This window comes from Homo sapiens, chromosome 11 (assembly GCF_000001405.40).
Source record: "Homo sapiens chromosome 11, GRCh38.p14 Primary Assembly".
In the NCBI taxonomy this organism is placed as follows: Eukaryota; Metazoa; Chordata; class Mammalia; order Primates; family Hominidae; genus Homo; species Homo sapiens.
The window spans coordinates 90,422,742-90,441,642 of NC_000011.10; the positions used below are offsets into that span (position 1 = coordinate 90,422,742).

Below are 18,901 nucleotides of genomic sequence, written 5' to 3' on the forward strand. Positions count from 1 at the left end.
GACACCAACTTGTAGAAGGAAGGGCTTTATTTAGCTCGGAGCATCAGCAAGCTACTGCCTTAAAATCCGAGCTCCCCGAGTGCACAATTTCTGTCCCTTTTAAGGGCTCACAACACTAAAGATTTCACATGAAAGGGTCGTGATTGATTTGAGCAAGCAGGGGTGTATGTGACACGGGCTGCATGCACTGGTGGTCAGAGTGAAACAGAACAGGGTAGGGAGTTTCACAATGTTCTTCTATACAATGTCTGGAATCTATGAATAACATTGGTTTCTAAGTTACGAGTTGATTTTTAACTACTGGGTTTAGGCCGGGCAGGCCCAGGCCTGGTTTCGGGCCTGGCGCCGGGCTGCCTGTCTTTGGTTTTATTTCCTTGTTGTTTTCTTAAAACAGGTACTGAGTATAAAACAATATAAAACAATATGAGAGGGTCTCTCTCTTCTCTCACTAGTACTTAGTGTAAATCTAAAGTTAATCATGACTAAGAAATAAAATACTGGCTTTCTTCTTCGTTTCCTCACTTCTTTCTTCCTCTCTCTTCTTCCTCTTTTCCACATCTTTTGTTTTATTGCAAACCATATTTAAAAGAAAATACTTGATCCGTGAGTGTTTTAAGGTGCTGGAACTTCAGCAAATTATGCATGCTTCTCTTTTCTAGGAGCTTACAAGTGGTACTGTAAAAACAAGTGCAGCAAAACAGCCTTAAAAATATGGACTTTTTAATGGTCTAATTTTGCGGGTGGCAAAAAAAGGCCTTCCTGTTGCAGTGCTGTTCCCTGGTGAAAATAACAAAGGCTTTTAAGTCAGTTCATCTGGCTCATTTTCTTGTCAGCCATCCAACCTGAAGCAAGCCTCTTAACTGTTACTAAGACTAAAAGTCCTTATTTGTAAAAAAAAGAAAAAGGGGGAATAATAACAACCTTTAGAAATTCCTTGAGAATTAAAGGTGCTTAGAGTAGCTCCACACATTGCTCAGTATTTTTTGCATTCAGTAAATATTATTTTCATTCTTTAGTTCATTTGTACTTGCAATTCCACAACAAAAACTGTAGAATGTTAGGGCTAGTAGGGACTTATTTATTAAAATAAAACATGGTTCTTTGTGTTAAAGCTAAAAACAATGTAACACACAAAAAGACAAAACTTAGGGCTTAGAATCAGAAGTAACTTCTTCAAGCATAAATAATGATTAGTTTACAGTTACACAAGTTGAAAGTACAAAAATCCAGAGTGTAGTGCTTATTATACAATTGATTGATTTTCTAAGACTTTATCTCATTTCAAAATTCAAGTTACCTTAAAGAGAGATAACATCTTAAGTCTAGTTATCACTTACAGTATTACTGATTATAGACTTACTAAAATACTCCCAGAAGTAGATAGTCATAACTTATATTTCATATAAAATTAGAAACTGTAAAGATGGAACATACCGCATGCTTTGAGGGGAACACCCAGCAGAAATAAATATATATATATGGATTACCAAAGGACTGAGGGAGAACCTCTGTGCTGGGCATTTATCCTCTGGTATTGCATTACTTTAAAAAATAACCTATATTAATATTATGTCATGGATGGCATTATCATCATTTTGAAGAAAAATTATGAGGTTCAGAGAGAAATTTAGTAATGAGCAATAGAGCCTGTATTCAAAATGAGTTCAGTTTGTCTTCAAAATTCATGGTATTCCCGTTATATCATAATGCCTTCAGCCAAGATTGACAACCTAATGGACAAAAAGTCCAACTTTTCTGTTCCATCCAGGTTATGGTCCCCAGCATAAACTTACAGACACTTTTGGTAATCCAGAAGAAATCAACAACTCTTATTTAACGGCCACAAGTAAAAGAAAGAAAATAGGACCTTAAGCTTAAAAAAAAAAAAAAAAAAAGAGTAGAAAACAATAATTAAACCTGGCTGGGCGCGGTGGCTCATGCCTGTAATCCCACACTTTGGGAGGCAGAGGCGGGTGGATCACAAGGTCAGGAGATCGAGACCAGCCTGACCAACATGGTGAAACCCCATCTCTACTAAAAATACAAAAATTAGCTGGGTGTGGTGGCACATGCCTGTAATCCCAGCTACTCGGGAGGCTGAGGCAGGAGAATCGCTTGAACCCAGGAGGCAGAGGTTGCAGTGAGCAGAGGCCACACCAGTGCACTCCAGCCTGGCAACAGAACAAGACTCCATTTCAAAAAAAAAAAAAAAAAAAAAGAAAAGAAAAAAACCTAATAATTAAGAAGCAGACTAGTTATTTATGTCTGCAACTGTCATACCAGACCTTCCCCGGTTTTTCTCTCCTTGACCTCCTCCTCCATTCCCACAGTCCTCGCTAGAGGCTTATTATTTTGGGTTTATAAAAATAGTCTTCCTAAATTTATGTAGCACTTTGTACTTTATGAGACATATTCACATTTATTTTTTAGTTCCTCTCGTTCTAATGGGAGTCCCCAGAGGCAAGATGGGCAGGTAATTGAGGATTTTTGTCTTTTAGGTCTGTAGAAATGATAAGAGTTTGAGGAAATTAGTAGAATTTCCTAGATGAAGACAGACAGAGGCACTTAGAATCATGGCATGTACATTAAGAGGGCAGCTTGTCTCTTACAGATACTGCTTGTAGTGGTTCTTGATGAGATAAACTGAGCAGGAAAACATCTGCATTCTGCATTTACGCCTCCGCAGCTAAAAGTATTTATTCAACTTCATTGTAAATGTTATTGATTATTTTCTAATTACTTCTGTAGAGAAACTTAGTCACCATCATCATCCACAATTGCAGATTTGGGCATGTGTTTTTTTTAATATAAGGAGGACACAGAGAGAAATAAATAGTCCTCAACCAACGGGGTGATAATAGTCAACCAGAGCTATGCCTGTTTTGTTCACCTTGTGTCTTAGTGCCTTACACCTGCTAATTAGTAGGTGTTTGTGGAATATTGTGTTACTATTCACCATTTATCTGATTTACCTTCTGTGACGCCACAAAATATGGGGGGATTATATATCTTTTCCTATTTAACCCAGGTGTAGCTATGTGACTTTCTTCAGTCAGTGAAATTTTGGCAGATGTGATGTCATTTCATGAAATAGCTTTAAGAACTAGTGTTTAGTTCAATATTGTCTCTTTTTTCCCTGCATCTGTGATCAAGGAAAAATAGAGATGAAATCTCTGTCAAACTGAATCAGTGGATAACCAAAGTGAGCAGAACCTTCTTATGAACTTGCAATGGACACACAGTATGAGTAAAATGTGTATTTTATAAGAATAAAATTGGCCAGTCGCGGTGGCTCACGCCTGTAATCCAAGCACTTTGGAATGCCGAGGCGGGCGGATCACGAGGTCAAGAGATGAGACCATGCTGGCTAATATTGTGAAACCCCATCTCTACTTAAAATACAAAAAATTAGCCGGGCCTGGTGGCGGGTACCTGTAGTCCCAGATACTCCGGAGGCTGAGGCAGGAGAATGGCGTGAGCCCGGGAGGCGGAGCTTGCAGTGAGCTGAGATCGCGCCACTGCACTCCAGCCTGGGCCACAGAGCGAGACTACGTATCAAAGAAAAAATAATAGTAATAATAATAAAATTAACTCAATTAAGCCATTGAGTTTTCAGCCTGTTTATTATTGAAGCATAAGCTCACCAAACTCGATGGATAGAGTGTGTAATATTAATTGAATACATTAATAAAGAATGGACTTGTTTTTAGTTTCTGATATTGACCATTGATATGGTTTGGCTGTGTCCACACCCAAATCTCACGTCGAATTGTAATTCCCAATGTTGGAGGAGGGACATGGTGGGAAGGCAGATTTCCCCCTTGCTATTCTCGTGATAGGAGTTCTCATAAGATCTTGTTGTTTAAAAGTGGGTAGCACTTCCCCTTTGCTCTCTCTCTCTTGCTCTGCCATGGTAAAACCTGCTTGCTTCCCCTTCACGTTCTTCCACGCTTGTAAGTCTCCTGAGGTCTCCCAGCCATGCTTCCTGTACAGCCTGTGTAACTGTGATTCAATTGAAACTCTTTTCTTCATAAATTACCCAGTCTTAGGTAGTTCTTTATAGCAATATGAGAATAGACTAATATAACTATGTTATTTGCAAATGACTTATTTGCTATAGGAAATTCAAAATTGCATACTGAAATTTTGCAAAAAAATTTTTACTCATAAAACTTAATTTATAAATTATGCATATAATTATAAAAATAATTCTGCCTTTGGATGAAGGGCAGTTTCATCAAGCAGCTTCTAGATAACAGGGTTTATATAGGTCCACAGTAAGAATATGAAAAGAGAGATATTTATTTGCTAATTCTTTAAATATTTATTGAGTGCCTACCATAAGCCAGGTATTTTGTTTAATATTTGATATTATTAAAACAAATAACATGTGAATCTCTGCTGAGTAGTTATTTTCTTTAAATTTTCACCAGGGCCTGGTAGCTTAATAACACCCTGGCAGCCAGGGAAGAGATTACATTTTATTCCATGCCATTGTTTCCCTCCTACACAGAGGATGGATGCCTTCTGGGAGACATTCACACTTGAAGACACTGATTATTAAAGCAAATTTGATAGTTTTACTGTTAGTTGAGAGGGTCATTAAAGTTTATATGCCCACTGATAAGAGCCAGCCAGTTTCTTCTCTAGAGCAGAAGTTTATTAAATCAAAGAGTCAAGAAAAGTCAAGGCTGAAAACAACCAGAGGACAGATTGTTGGTTATGGGGCCTGTGGGAAAGAAAAGCTCCTGTCCTGAATGGAACCAAAGTAGTGAAAGAACCAGAAGGAGGAAAATAGGTAATTTGGAGCAATTCATACTTTAAAAAAATTTAACTTCCTAGACTGGATTCTGTTGAGTTGAGCAGGAAAACAGAAGTCAGTTTTCCATAGGAATGAAAGATGTTAAAAATTCTGGAAAAGTCGGAGGGCAAGATGAACAAGGCGGTTCTGTTGGAAGTGTCCCTGGAAATCTCTCAGATATCTCACATCCAGAAGCTGGCACAGTGGGCTTTCATGGGTTGGCCTTCTCTTTGGCTAGGTCCCCATGAGCAGACAGGTTGTCATGATTATCCCTACAGCTAGAAGCAGCACTTGCCTCGCTAGGGATGCCCAATGGTATCTTTGTCAGGGAAGCCACCAGGGAAGATTATGAATTACTTAGGTAATAATTGAAGTATTATTTTAAAATGATAAAATATGGAAAACAGTGGAGAAATCATTTAAATTACATGTTGATTATTAGAGCCATTGACTTGCTTGTTTCATTGAGCCTATATTAGGGTTTAATGCCAATGTAACACCATAGTCAACTTACTGCAAATTCTACCCATTCGCTTTAGCCTATTTTAGACTTTACCTTTTCCAGGGGTCTTTTATGATGCCTTGAACTGGATATAACTTCTTTCAGTAAGCAGTGTTTACGTTTCAAACATGACTCTTATTACATAGGCCCTTCACAGTTGCATGGAAAGTCCAAAGAGAGTAGGCCTGTGCCTTATTTGTTTCTGTATCCCCCTCACAGCTCAGCATAGTTCTGTGAATGTAATGGGTGCTTCATTATTATTAATTGACTTTAATATTTTGTTTGATATATATATATATTTAATGCTATGAGAAACATAGTTGGCTATCTGGCTAACATAATGCTTTTTCTTTGAAAAATTGAAATGTATTCTGATAGTCAAAATTTAAACTTCTAAGTGTCACTAGAAATCAACCTTTTCAAATTCTGGTGATATATACTGCTAATAAAGGTATATTTTGATATAGCTATGATTTTAATGGAAACTATTTTTGGCAACAAAATTCTTGTCAGCCTCTGGAAAACTGTCATCAGTTTTTGGAATGATGACATTAGGCCATTTGCTAATGATATAGATACATATATAACTTCTTTCAGTAAACAGTGTTTACGTTTCAAACGTGACTCATATTACATATATATGTATCTATATAAAAATATATAGATCTATGAATATGTGTGTGTGTGTGTTTTCTGGAGTCTCTGTACTATCAGAACATCAAAACTTTAGGTCTTTCCAGTGACTAAAATTCAGTGTAACACTTAAAAAAAAAAAAAAACACATTGAAATGGGAACCCCTCTTGTTTGGTCCCTAACAGTTGCTGTGATTGGAATTGATGTATTTGTTCTTCTCTATAACTGCAGCCATGGCATTGCAGGACAACAGTCATTTAAATACTATAAGCTGAAAACAACATGGATAAGAGCCATGTTTGATGTTCATATGAGGTTTCTTGGCATCTTGTGTGCAGATCCATCTGTTAGATGGCAGAGTGCCTGCACACAAGGTATTAAGCCAGTTTCATTGGGGGTAATAATGCTAACTAAGAGTGGTACTCCATGGGCAAGCTGCCTAATGTTACAACTACCATCTCCTTGTTGAATCTTCTCTTTTGTTCTGGATTCTCCATTGTGTATATAAGCCTCTTTAAATCAATCTATTTTGTGTGGGTTTTTTTTACTTTTTATATTTTATTGTTTTTGGCAGTGACTGACTACTTGGGCATTGGCTATAAATACAAAATTGGGGGGTGCATATTGAGTGGCCAAGTTTAAAGGATACTAAGAGCTATACACATTGATCACTCATTCTGAAAGAAAATTACCAGTGAATTTAAATACATGTCAGAAAGACAAAAAGTCTTTCTGCTTTAGATTGCATCTTTTCTTCTTTCTCAATTATCTTAGAATGCTCACTGCAGAAGTAGTACTCCAGCACATATAAATAGAACAAGCTATTGAATGAAGAGACCACTGAATAATCAATAATTTAATTAAATCATTATAGGCCTAAAATTGATCAGGTGAAAATGTAACACACAAGAGACTACATTCCTGGACCATAGGTCAAATGTTTAGGGAGAAATTGCAGGAGGTGTCACGGACCTGGGGAAAGATAATCATAAAAGCTGCTTCAGATAGTGAAGGCTGAATGGTACTGAAATTGCTTGTTTATGTTAATGAGTTTTAGACATTTAATTTAAATTGATGTTAATTTATAAATCATTTATTTACGCTGGATGTCAGTCATGGCTATTTTGGGGAGGAGATTACAATAAGTCCTAATGCAGGTCCTTAAGGAACATACAGATTAATGAGGTAAGTTAAAAACAAGAAGCAACTACCTTTAATGTAAGGCATAATAATATATATGCTAGGTAAATTTTTAAAACCATGTTCTGGAAACATAAAGAATGAAATTTTGATGATTGTTTCACTGTGGAAGCCTTTCAAAGAAGAAGTTATGGATGAGTTGAGAATTTAAGGAAACAATATATTCCGGTAAGGCAACAATAAATGGTGGCCTGGAGGTATTCCTTTCAATGACCATGAGTAAAGGAATGAAGGTTAAGTTTTGGTTTGTGATATAGGTCTAAATGAGTTCATCTTGAAGAACTTTCACAATGAAAAACCTTGAAGGCAGTAGTGATACATCACAGGCTCGATGTGGGTAGTAGAAGATCAGACAGTTATTTTAGGTAATTAAGTTTAGCAGTAGCATGAAAATGGTTTTGGGCAGGTGAGAAACCTGAGTTTAAAAGATCAAGTTAGGAGGATATTTTAGAAAAAAGAGTAATTGTAACAAAATCCTCCTTTTGTACTAGCAGCCACCTTGAAGGTATAAGTTGTTTTTTTTTTTTTAATTATCCACTTAAATTTGTGTCGGCAGCGTATCTAGAAATAGAAAAGAAATATGAATTTAAGATGTAAATTGGTTACCTAAATAATTCTTAATAGAAGTCCAAGAGTGGTAAACATGATACATATTTTACATACCCATGAAGTGAGAAAAAGAGAAAAACCTTATATTAAATATCAATAATAATGATATAAAAATCAATATATGCAGGTACATTTCTTGATATAACAGCCACTGTATGCAGTTGTATTTCTTAAACTTTTTTTTCTGTAATGAATGGAAATAAACACATTTAAGGATGTTAGAATTTCTTCTGCCTTACTCTCAGAATAATTTCCAAAAAGGGCTTATGGAAAAGGAGAGAGAAAAAATAGCCAAAACAATTTATGAAAAAAATCCAACTGGATATCTAACAAATGCAAATGAGGAATAGAAGCAGACAAGAGCAGGTAGCAGTAATTATTGCCATCTGATAGTCAAGGATAGAGAAAAGGCCCTTTTAAATTCCGTTTACTTTTCACCAAATTTCAGGATGAAAATTACCCATGATATCACCCTTTCGAATGTGAATATATTGCGTGAGGGAGCTTGTCTGAGCCTGAAGTTGCCCAGTAGAGATTAGAATGGAAGGATTAGATAACAGGTGTGCTTGTTTTAACAATGTGTAATTCTGTGAAAATTCAAGGTCCTTCTAGTATTGTTAATTAATAGCTTTATGAAATCCCACCTCAGTCCTCTTCCCATAGGCTTTGCTTCTTTTTGCTTCCCTACTCTCATTACAGGTAAGCCAAATGTATTAGAACTTGGTGCGTGGCTGAGGGGTGTCCATGGAGAAACCTATTTGGAGTAAGCAGATTTGAATTACAAGAAACAAGAACTGTATTATGCAAATGTTCTATTAAAATTACTCTAAAATTGAATTTAAATTACACCGCTCCACACAGAATTAGGCATTGAAAATGACAATAGATCTGAAATGTAGTGGGCTCTGAAAGTTCTTTGTGACTAGGCCTTTACAGCCAGAAAAAAAGGTAATGGGCAGCAAGACCATTCAGAGAAAGGGACAGAAACACATGAAAAAGACTCTAGTATGAATGAGTGTCCAAGAGATTGTTAATAGCCAATATAACATTTTAAAGCATGTTTTTTTCTCTACATATTTAGATAAGAATGATCATATTACATATTTAGATAACAATTACCTTATTGCGCCGCTACAATGCTTTTTTTACTTTCTTAGAAGAATATGCCAAAAAGTACTTTAAGTATAGCAATGTATAAATTATAGTCTTTGTGCTGTGTTGAGCAAGTCCATGGAATTGGCCACCTGAAAGAGAGAATTCTTAATTGCCTGAGAATGATTACTAGTCTTATGTTTGTGAAGAACTTCCATCATTCAAAAGGCAAGCCTCTTCATTGTTAAGACTCAAAAATAAAGATACTTTAGTTAGGTGGAAAGGGTTGGTATGAAAAGCTGCAACACTTTAATTTTTGCTATTAAAATCACAGAAATTATGCAAATATTTTAAATTCTATAAATTGTATGAAAAATTCCTTCTCTTATTTTTTTTCTTTAGCAGCAGAGAATTCCAGGGCATAACCCACTTTCTGAACATATCCTCTTTTCCTTCTCTTTCTCTGATTATCTCTGAAGCTGCGTTTGAGGATAAGCCAGTCAATGAAGTTCTATCTAGTATGCTGGTATAAGAGGGGGCACCTACCATCACCGCTAATTCTCTGTAGCTGGAAGCAATTCTTTCCATTTTTTAGCGATCTTATAATCAGTCAAATCAGTGTTACTATTGGGGTAGACATACATATCTGGAGACCTCAACAGGGGAATGTAGTATAGGAAGAGCTGATAATTGGCCACTCTTTTTTTCAAAAATAAATTTATATTTGGGGTACATGTGAAGGTTTGTTATGTAGGTAAACTCGTGTCTTGGGGGTTTGTTGTACAGATTATTTCATCACCCAGGTATTAAGCTCAGTACCCAATAGTTATCTTTCCTGCCCTTCTCTCTCCTCCCACCCTCCACCCTCCAATAGGCCCTACTGCCTGTTGTTTTCTTCTTTGTGTTCATGAGCTTTCATCATTTACCTCCCACTTATAAGTAAGAAGATGTGGTATTTGGTTTCTGATCCTGCATTAGTTTTCTAAGGATAAAGCCTCCAGCTCCACCCATGTTCCCACAAAAGACATGATTTCATTCTTTTTTATGGGTGCCTATTATTCCATGGTATATATGTGTCACGTTATCTTTATCCAATCTGTCATTGATGGGCATTTAGGTTGATGCCATGTCTTTGCTATTGTGAATACTGCTGCAGTGTACATTTGTGTACATGTGTCTTTATGGTAGAATGATTTATATTTGTCTAGGTATATACACTCTAATGCATTTGCTAGGTCAAATGGTAGTTGGGCTTTTATTTCTTCGAGGAATCATCATACTGCTTTCCACAATGGTTGAAATAATTTACATGCCCACCAACAGTGTATAAGTGTTTCATTTTCTCTGCAACCTTGCCAGCATCTGTTACTTTTTGACTTTTTAATAATATCCATTCTGACTGGTGTGAGATGGTATCTCATTGTGGTTTTGATCATATATAATCAACCACAGCAATCTTTTCTAATGAGTTAGAACTTGGCTTCAGATCCTTGTTAACACAGAACTCTAATTAGCCTCTATTGCTTGATAAAATTTTCCATAAAGACAAAGCCCATTTTGTAATAGATGCATAAACCCAAGAGTCTAAAAAACTGTTTTCTGGTCCTGGTTCTACCACTTGAGCAACTCACCGAGCTTCATTTAGCTTCCTTAAACCTTAGTTTGACTAAGACATGTCTGGGAGCTTAACTGCTAACTTGGAGTTCCTTTCTTCCCTCATACAGAGAGTTTTAGAAGTTTTCACAAAGATTTTATGAGTTATACAATTTATTAACTTTCCAAGTTTCTTCTCAGTTTTTCTGTCTGCCAGTAATACTACACAGCTATCTGTATGACAGGACTGAGAATTCCAGCATCTTTGGTCATGTTTGCATTTCTATAGATAAGATCTGTATCTTGTTTTTGAAGATGGTTGGTGTTTGGGGGTGGTGGCCAGGGGTGTATATGGTTCTAAAGGGGTTCATAACAGTTATAGGCAGACATATATTGGCATGAAGGAATATTTTTCAGTTCTATATAAGATACTAAACTATCCAAGTTCTTCTAACTTTAGGAAGTTTTGTCAAACAGGGAAGTTCTTAGTTCATATTGTTTATAGTATCAGATCTATGTATACTTATTAATCTTATACCTCAATAACATTTATTTTCTACCTCAATACAATGGCAATTATGAAAATAACCACTAGTTTGCAAATATGTCATCTCATCCCTAAATAGAGATGAAGTTGCTTTAGTTTTCAGGTGCTATTTATTCCTTCATTAACATTATTCATTGTCTAGAGTCTTCCATGTGCCCGGCCCAGGGTCAGGAACTATGCATATAAAGATGAGAAATCTGCTCTCAAGAAGCTCAAGTTCCAATGAGGAAAGCAGACATGTACATGAATTATTATGCTATGTGAAACACTAGAATAGAGATAAGTTGAAAATACTTTAGATAATAGAAGAAAAGTGCAACTAGCTTTTGTCTTTACCCCTTCCACGTCTGTACTTTTTCATCATCCATGTTCTCAAGTGGTTTCATCACTGATAGCTATGCTAATTCTCTTGGTAACTGCTTAAGAATATTGCTGAGTTTCTGTTGGAAAAGAATGTCTTTAGTCATGACTAGGAGACTATTTTGATCAAAGAGATTGAATTTACTAATTCCAATATTTGAAGGGCAACATCATATTTAGTTCTTGGGAACTCCTTTCACAATATCTTGGCCATTTTACCATCAAAGCTAAGAGAAAATAAATGGCCATTCTCTGCTACCTCATTGAGACTTCCCTTCCAGTTCTGGGCTCCTTCCTGAGATAGCTGCTACATTTTCAGGATGCTAATACAGGGTATGATCTCACTATTCAGGTGTGATCCTCCTCTCTCTCACAGTGTACAGAATTTGTACTAAAATTCCCATGAGTATATTGCAATATAATAACACAATCACAACACTCACATAACTCCACAATCCAAAATTAGTATTTCCTCTCTCCCTCCAATTACAAACAGGCAATAATTTCTTGATTGCTTGTGTTTCCTGGCAAATTTCCTTTAATTAGTATGCCTGGTTTCCTGACACTAGCTGGAGTAACCTGGTTGGAAACTTATTTTCTAGGCTGGAAGTAAAGCTTCAAAAAGTTTTCACCACACAAATATATCTTTACACAAAGATACAGATTCACACAGTAGACATAAAGCAAACATGCCTTATTTACTCCTTGGGTCAGTAGAGAGAAAACAGGAGGAATCTTAACCGAAAGAATAATTAAGAGTTGAAATGTCTTATACAAGTTGAGATTTGACATATGTTAATGTTAAAGAAGAGCAGGTATAGTTGTTCAAAATCCCTACTGGTCCTCAAGGAGGATTCTCACTTCTGTCATCTGCTCTCAGAGTTTCCAATAGTAGTGGCACTGACTGATTAGAGTCCTGTTGCCTTAGGCTGCCTTTTCCAACAGTTATCAAATCCTCTTATGCCTCCTGCTGGTTGCAGGGCTGACCATTTTTCATATTAGCCAAGCATTTAAGGCTCTGAGTTACTCAAGAATCCCAAGAATTAACTATTTAGGGACTAAATTGCAAAAGCAAGAGTAATCAACTAGCCCTTTAAAAAATTATAAGTAAAATCTACTCAACACAGAACATTGATTTCTAAACAAAATATTATTTTCAAGTTTCATTAGCCAAATGTCGATACATAGCCTGTAATCATCTTGAGACCACAAAAATAATAGCTCAGTATATCACAAAGTAATGTTTTTCTGAGAGATCCACAGGAGGTGGATTGACCTGAACACCTTGCAAGACATGAATTCACATGCATTTTCAGCATGTCTTCTCCAACTTGATGAAAAAAATTCCAATCATAATACCTAGGATAACCCAACCTCCTTAGTCTTTTCAGTATTTAATATGGAATCACTATTTTGTAGAACTTACTTTAGTGATTCACTCATAGAATGTCATGTTATATTATTTATGTATGCGGCAGCCCACTGAACTGTGAAGAGATTTAAACTGTGTCTCCTTACTTATTCCCTGACAGTTTGCACATAACAAAGTATATACTCTTACTATTATTTGTGGGGTCTGCCGACTATTATAGTCTACTGAATAAATGTAAATAGTTACTTTCTACCCAGAACCTCCATAGTGCCTGCACTGAATCTCAACATTTTCCCCTCCATATTTTCATCTGCTTAGTCACTCTGTTCATTCAGTGACTATTTTTCTTCAGTCTCTTCTCATCATCTTGTCAAAGTCATAAATTGCTAAACATACCTGCATGACTATCTATATTACACTAAAATTATATTTATTCACTGCATATAAAAATAAAACAAAATGAATTTTTTTAAGCTCGAGTGCGTATTATTTTCCCACAGAATTGTCAAACCACTGCAATGTTTCTTTTCTTCTCTTCTACCAACCCCATCCTCAGTATAAAGAATAGTTCTAATCATAAAATTAGAATTGGTAGTAGGAGTAGTACAATGAACAGCATAAAATTAATGGCCTGGGCACATAGTTGAGCCTATTATTACACATTTATAAGCTAAATTTATATTTATATTTTTGAAAGCTATGCCTAGAATATCATAGTATAGCCAAAGGAGAATAAAAAATGTTATTGGTATTCTCTTCACATTATCATTTTCTAAAACATAGCTTTAAATTAATTTTACCTGAGTCCATTTTCTTCTCTTTCTCCAGCTCAACTCTTCATACTTAAATTCCATTAGTTGGTTTCCTCATCTCCAAAGCAGGGACATAAATAATAATACCTATATTTCAAAGACAATATGAAGGTTAAATTGAGCAAAGCAAATGAAAAATATTCTTTGAGCTGTACATTGATATACAAATAGATTTCTGTTATTTCCATTGGAGGAGTGTTTAGATATTATAAGGCACACTAGGGATAAGGTTTATTTGGCAGCTGCCTTGTCACTCCAAATAAATTTATTTATCATGTATTTATTGAGGAATTTATAGCCTCTAGAGAATTTTCTCTGTGAGAGCACTGCTTTTGAATTTTTTTGTTTCTTCTCCCACTCCACCCCTTTGGCTAGTTGAATTCTAGACAAATAATGTCTTACTTAGCTGGGTAGCTAAGCTGCAACTAAATTCTCCAGGGATTTTCTATAATATGGATTCAACGCTTAGGAAAATTCAACTTAAAAGTGGAAAACATCTCTTAACTAGAGAATTATCTCCTTCAAGTTCTGTCTTCAGAAGTGATTTCTGTCTTAAGGTCTACCAAGTATTCTTGGCTTTTGTTCCTGCATATTTTTCCAGGTTTAAAGTGTATTTTTCCACTTAATTAGACTGTAAGCAATTCTAATGTCATTTTTGTTTCTGATATATTGGTTTCTACAATATTTTGATTTTGATTGGTGATAACAAAATGGTAGTAATAATTATAAGGGTCTTAGTTTAAATATTTTCAAGTGGTATACTTGAGAGCTTCATTGATACAAGTTATATGTGTTTCATTGTGAAATAAATTATATACAGTAAGACCTATTTTAAAAATAACAATTTATTATAGAAAGGTGGTTTTGGCCAGTACTTTTCAAAAATTAAAAAAAAAGACTAAAATATATACTTTTTTTAGAATAAGCTTTTCCTTTTTTGTTGTTGTTTCATATCATATGGTCTCTTAAATAGCCCTTATGGCATTTAAATGATGTGATTTCCCTAAAATTATTAGCAATGTATGTAAGGATTTATGGCATGAAGTATATGTGGATATTTAAAATGGGGAAATTTTGTGATTAACAAGTTTAAACAAATAGCAGATAAATTTGTAAAATTTATAGTTGTGAATAAACCGTGTCCAAACATATTCAGTGACTATTACTAAAACATTATTATCATGCTATGATCTTTTCTGCTTGTGCATTGTAGTTCAAAGGTGTTGATAAGGGTTGATGCAGTGGAATTGGGCTTTCTAGCTTCAATGGGAACAACAGGATTACAGAATGGAGAGGCCAGATATACAGCTTAATTCAAAGGGATAAGGTGGGCAGAGTTATTACAATAATCTACACTGGGATGGAAAGATAATTAGAATATCTCATTCAAAGAGATCTACCAAATAGCTAATTGATCAAAGTGTCTTAGGAATGAAAACAATAAGCAGACTACCAATGTGCTTCTTGATTTATATATGATATGTATAACATATATCAAGATTTATATTGATTCTATATGCTATTACATAAATAAAACTACATATGAGATAACACTACACTCACACAGTAAATTCTCATTATACTCACTATTTGCAGTAGTTATATTCTATAAAGTTGCCATGAACACTTAATTAAGTGAATATTGTACTATTGCTCCAAAGGTAAATACAGGGATATGTTCTTGTGAGCTTCTGTTCACAATATTTCATCAACTAATTATCAGACAACCCTATTTAATGTGTTTTTGTTTAAAGGCACTTTATTTACTATATATAGTTGATTCATGAACATTGAACTCATGGCCAACAACACTATAATTTACATATGTATGAAGTTTATCTAACACGCTATTTTCTTCGTAAAGCGTATCATAGCCTTATTGAACTTAGGAGCACTATACAGGACTTCAGCTCTGTGCTCAGGGATCATTGTAAGCAGCAAAATCATCAATAAGAAGCACAAAAATGTGAAAAATGTGACACAAATATACTGACAAAAGAGCACTGGTTTACATATCAAAGGTGACACAAGAAGGCAGAAAATCAGCTAGTTTAAACTGAGCTGGGTATGTGGGCTTCAGGTGACCCAATTTTTTTTACACTTTGCATATGTTAGCAACTGACTGCAAAAGCCTCATGACTAGTGATTTGGGAGTTTTAAATAAATTTTAGAGAGGAAGATGGATTCACGAATATGAACTCTGTAGATAATACTGATTGACTACACACACACACAACACACAGAGACACACACACACACACACATTATTTTAGGTTTGATGGGAAGAATTCTGACATGCATTGCCACAGTTGGGATCCACAACCTTTTGCCTATGTCTTTGAATTAAGGCAGTTTACATATCAAGTTCCATTTTTGAGGGAGAGGATAGGCCCATTTGAAGAAAATCACTATAGACCATACATCTTCATCCAACGTTTCCCCAGAAGAATCTGTAGCCATTTACCAGAGTGACTATGCATTTGTGAAAGTGAAACATCTAGAATTTTCAGAGCTTAATAGATACTAGTTTTGAATTGATGCTAATCCTCAATGCCATTATGATCATCCAGTCATAATAAAGTCTTATGAAGGTGATGAAATGAGTTGACCAGTTCTAACAGTTGGTCCAGTGGCACTGTGAATGCACTCTGTGGTTGTTTTCCCATTCCCAGAATGCATAGAGGGAATAGACAGACATATAGGATAACTGGCAGAACCCCCATATTGATTTCCTGGCCCATGTAGTGTTAGCCTAAAGGAAAGGCCAACTGGAAGCACCTGGAATTGTTCCCTTCTTTGCAAGGAAGTTAAGCACAATACTGGGAGGTTGTTTTATTTTATGTCATCTTAAAAGATTTGAAAGAAGCATGGTTAAAGAATTACCCAACACTCATATTCAGCTCACCTAAAGAATGACCAGATTTCACAAAGTTCATCAGGTAGTGATGCTAATTGTAACTGTGGTCTTAGATGAGCTTTTGTTATTGAAATTAACAATGACAACAAACAGCAAAAAACAAAAAGCACATCTAGCACCTGGAATACAGTTATTTACCTAGAAAATGCTTTCTCTTCCCAAACCTAACAACAAAGATAACCAGAATCAATTTCACTTTACAGAACAAAACAATATTTCACATTACCTCAAGACTATGTCAATTCTCATTTTCTGTATCACAGCAAATTTTAGAGTTATCTTAATCATCTTGATATTCCATGGGACATCATGCTAATCTATTATATTGAAGATGTAGTAATTCAACCTGATGAGCAGGAAGCAGTAACCACTGAGTTGCATTAGTAAGATACAGGTATGATTGAGGATAAAAGATGAAATCTATAAAAATTCAGGCACCTGTCACATTGGGATAACTTGTAATGGTCTGGCAGCCTGGTATACATTTGCATATCCATCCTAAAGTGAACCTGCTATCTGCTATCTCAAAACATTAAAACTGAGAGACTTTTTTGGGTTTTGGAAGCAAGATGCATCATATTGTATTTTTTTTTCTTTTTTTCTGTGTTCCATTTTCTTGGTAACCAGTAATTTGCCAATTTTGAGTGGGGTAGAGTAAAAAGAGGCTTAAATCAGGCCACACTGTGGTACAAGCTGCATAGTACTTGGGCCTTACAAGTTGGCTAAATTAAGGAAACAAGGAGTGCCTGTGGCAGAGAGAAATTCTACTATATGGAACATTAAGCAAGCCAGAATAGGAATATCAGAATGTATATCCCAAGGATTTTCATCTGAGGTTATCCCTTCTTTTGCCAATAATTTTATTTCATTTGAAAATCAATTTGTGGCATGATACTAAACCCTCATGGATACTGAATGCCTGATCAAAAGTCCCAATAGACTATGTGATCTGAACCATCCATCATATACTGGGCATTATCTGATCTACTGCGTTATAAAATTGGATGTGTGCAGCAACATTCTGCTGTAAGTTAGAAAATGGCATATATAAATTTGGGTCTTAGAAAACCCAAGTCTAGAAAACACAGGTCTAGAAAACACAAGTAAACTGCCTGAGCAGGTGGCTTAGATTCTTAGGCTATATGTAGGTTTATAGCTTCTATCTCAATTGATACCTACTGCCTCATGAATATTTCCCTGCAACTTCTGGTATGCCAGCACCAACTGAATGTGAATGGCCACTATATGTACTACCTACTCAGGGGTAGCCCTGAAAGTAATGGTGAAAGGCAAGTCCTTAAGTCCTATGTCTGTATCTACTTTGTGAGAACAAGACTGACACAAAGTACTGATCTATACTAATTCATCCAAAGTTTATGATATATTGTCCAGGGATAGTAAGAATAGAATTGAAATATTGATGACAAATATTTTATATTGATGACAAAGATTTCAGAATTGGAATATTGATGGGAGAAATGTTGGTGAACATCTTGGAACTGGAACAGAATGTCAAGATATTCTTAGCCAATGTAAATGTCCATCTAAAGCAGAGATGAATCTCAGTAATCATATGGACACGATAGGCTGTCTTGTGTATGTCAAACAGCCTCTTTTTCTAGCCACTCCAGTGTTTAGTCAATAAATTAAAGTACAAAATACCATGACAAGTATAGAGGGTATGCATGGGTTTAACAGCATGGATTTCTTTTTATTAAGACTGATCTGATTTCTAACATTGCTGAGTATCCATCCTGCCAAAAGCAGAGGCTTATGCTGAAGCCCTCAATAAGCTCATTTCTGGAGGAAATAGGGGTCAATAGAGAAGATTGTTTATGTTTGACCCCACTTTTACAGGTGGACTATGGAAGGAGAAACAGAAATTAATCTTTATAGGAACAGATATGTATTTTCTATTCAGAATTTCCTTTCTATCCATTGAAGCTCTGCCAGCACCACCGTTTGTGGACTTACAAAATGGATACATTGTAATCATATCCCACACAGCATTCTCTTTTACGAAGGGACTTATGGAAAGATGAGCAAGGAATTCACAACTACAAAAGTCACCATTTTTACAGTTGACACAGAAGCAGTTGGATTAAATAGAACAGCATTCAGGCTCGGTCCTGGGTTCCTGTTTGTCCCCAGCTGCCACTGGCTCAATGGAGCATGCAGTTCTGGCTATGCCTCTCTGCTGTAGCTGGCGTGATAGCAGCAGCCACTCCAGAGGGCCTGCCACTGCCATCAATGGGACAATTAGAACCATGCCTAGGATCTATAGGATTCATTGAGGCGCTTCCTAGTACTTTCTTGCCCAACCGTCCTGATCAATAGAAAATTTAAGCAGGCCAATAAAGACAGGATCACCAAGGACTCAGGCATTACAAGAATGAAGTTTTGGTTTAACCCAGTAGGTGTATAAACACTTCCTGCAGAGGTGATGCCAGAAATAACAGAAG

General features: G+C 35.8%; 1 long non-coding RNA gene across 1 annotated transcript in view, besides 2 other annotated features; it reads left to right on the forward strand.

Annotated features, from left to right (window-relative positions):
• Positions 1 to 18,901, forward strand: part of DISC1FP1 (DISC1 fusion partner 1) — a 663,821-nt gene that overhangs the window by 171,510 nt on the left and 473,410 nt on the right. The gene's annotated exons all lie outside the window — the stretch shown is intronic.
• Positions 12,120 to 12,414: a silencer, noted in NCBI's record as "tiled region #15479; HepG2 Repressive non-DNase unmatched - State 13:Ctcf". NCBI's record gives its function as "represses a minimal TATA promoter and a strong SV40 promoter by Sharpr-MPRA in HepG2 cells {active_cell/tissue: HepG2}" and the evidence as "EXISTENCE:reporter gene assay evidence [ECO:0000049][PMID:27701403]".
• Positions 15,224 to 15,951: an enhancer, noted in NCBI's record as "OCT4-NANOG-H3K27ac hESC enhancer chr11:90171133-90171860 (GRCh37/hg19 assembly coordinates)". NCBI's record gives its function as "activates a minimal SCP1, AML or CMV promoter by ChIP-STARR-seq in primed H9 embryonic stem cells {active_cell/tissue: H9 hESC(primed)}" and the evidence as "EXISTENCE:reporter gene assay evidence [ECO:0000049][PMID:30033119]".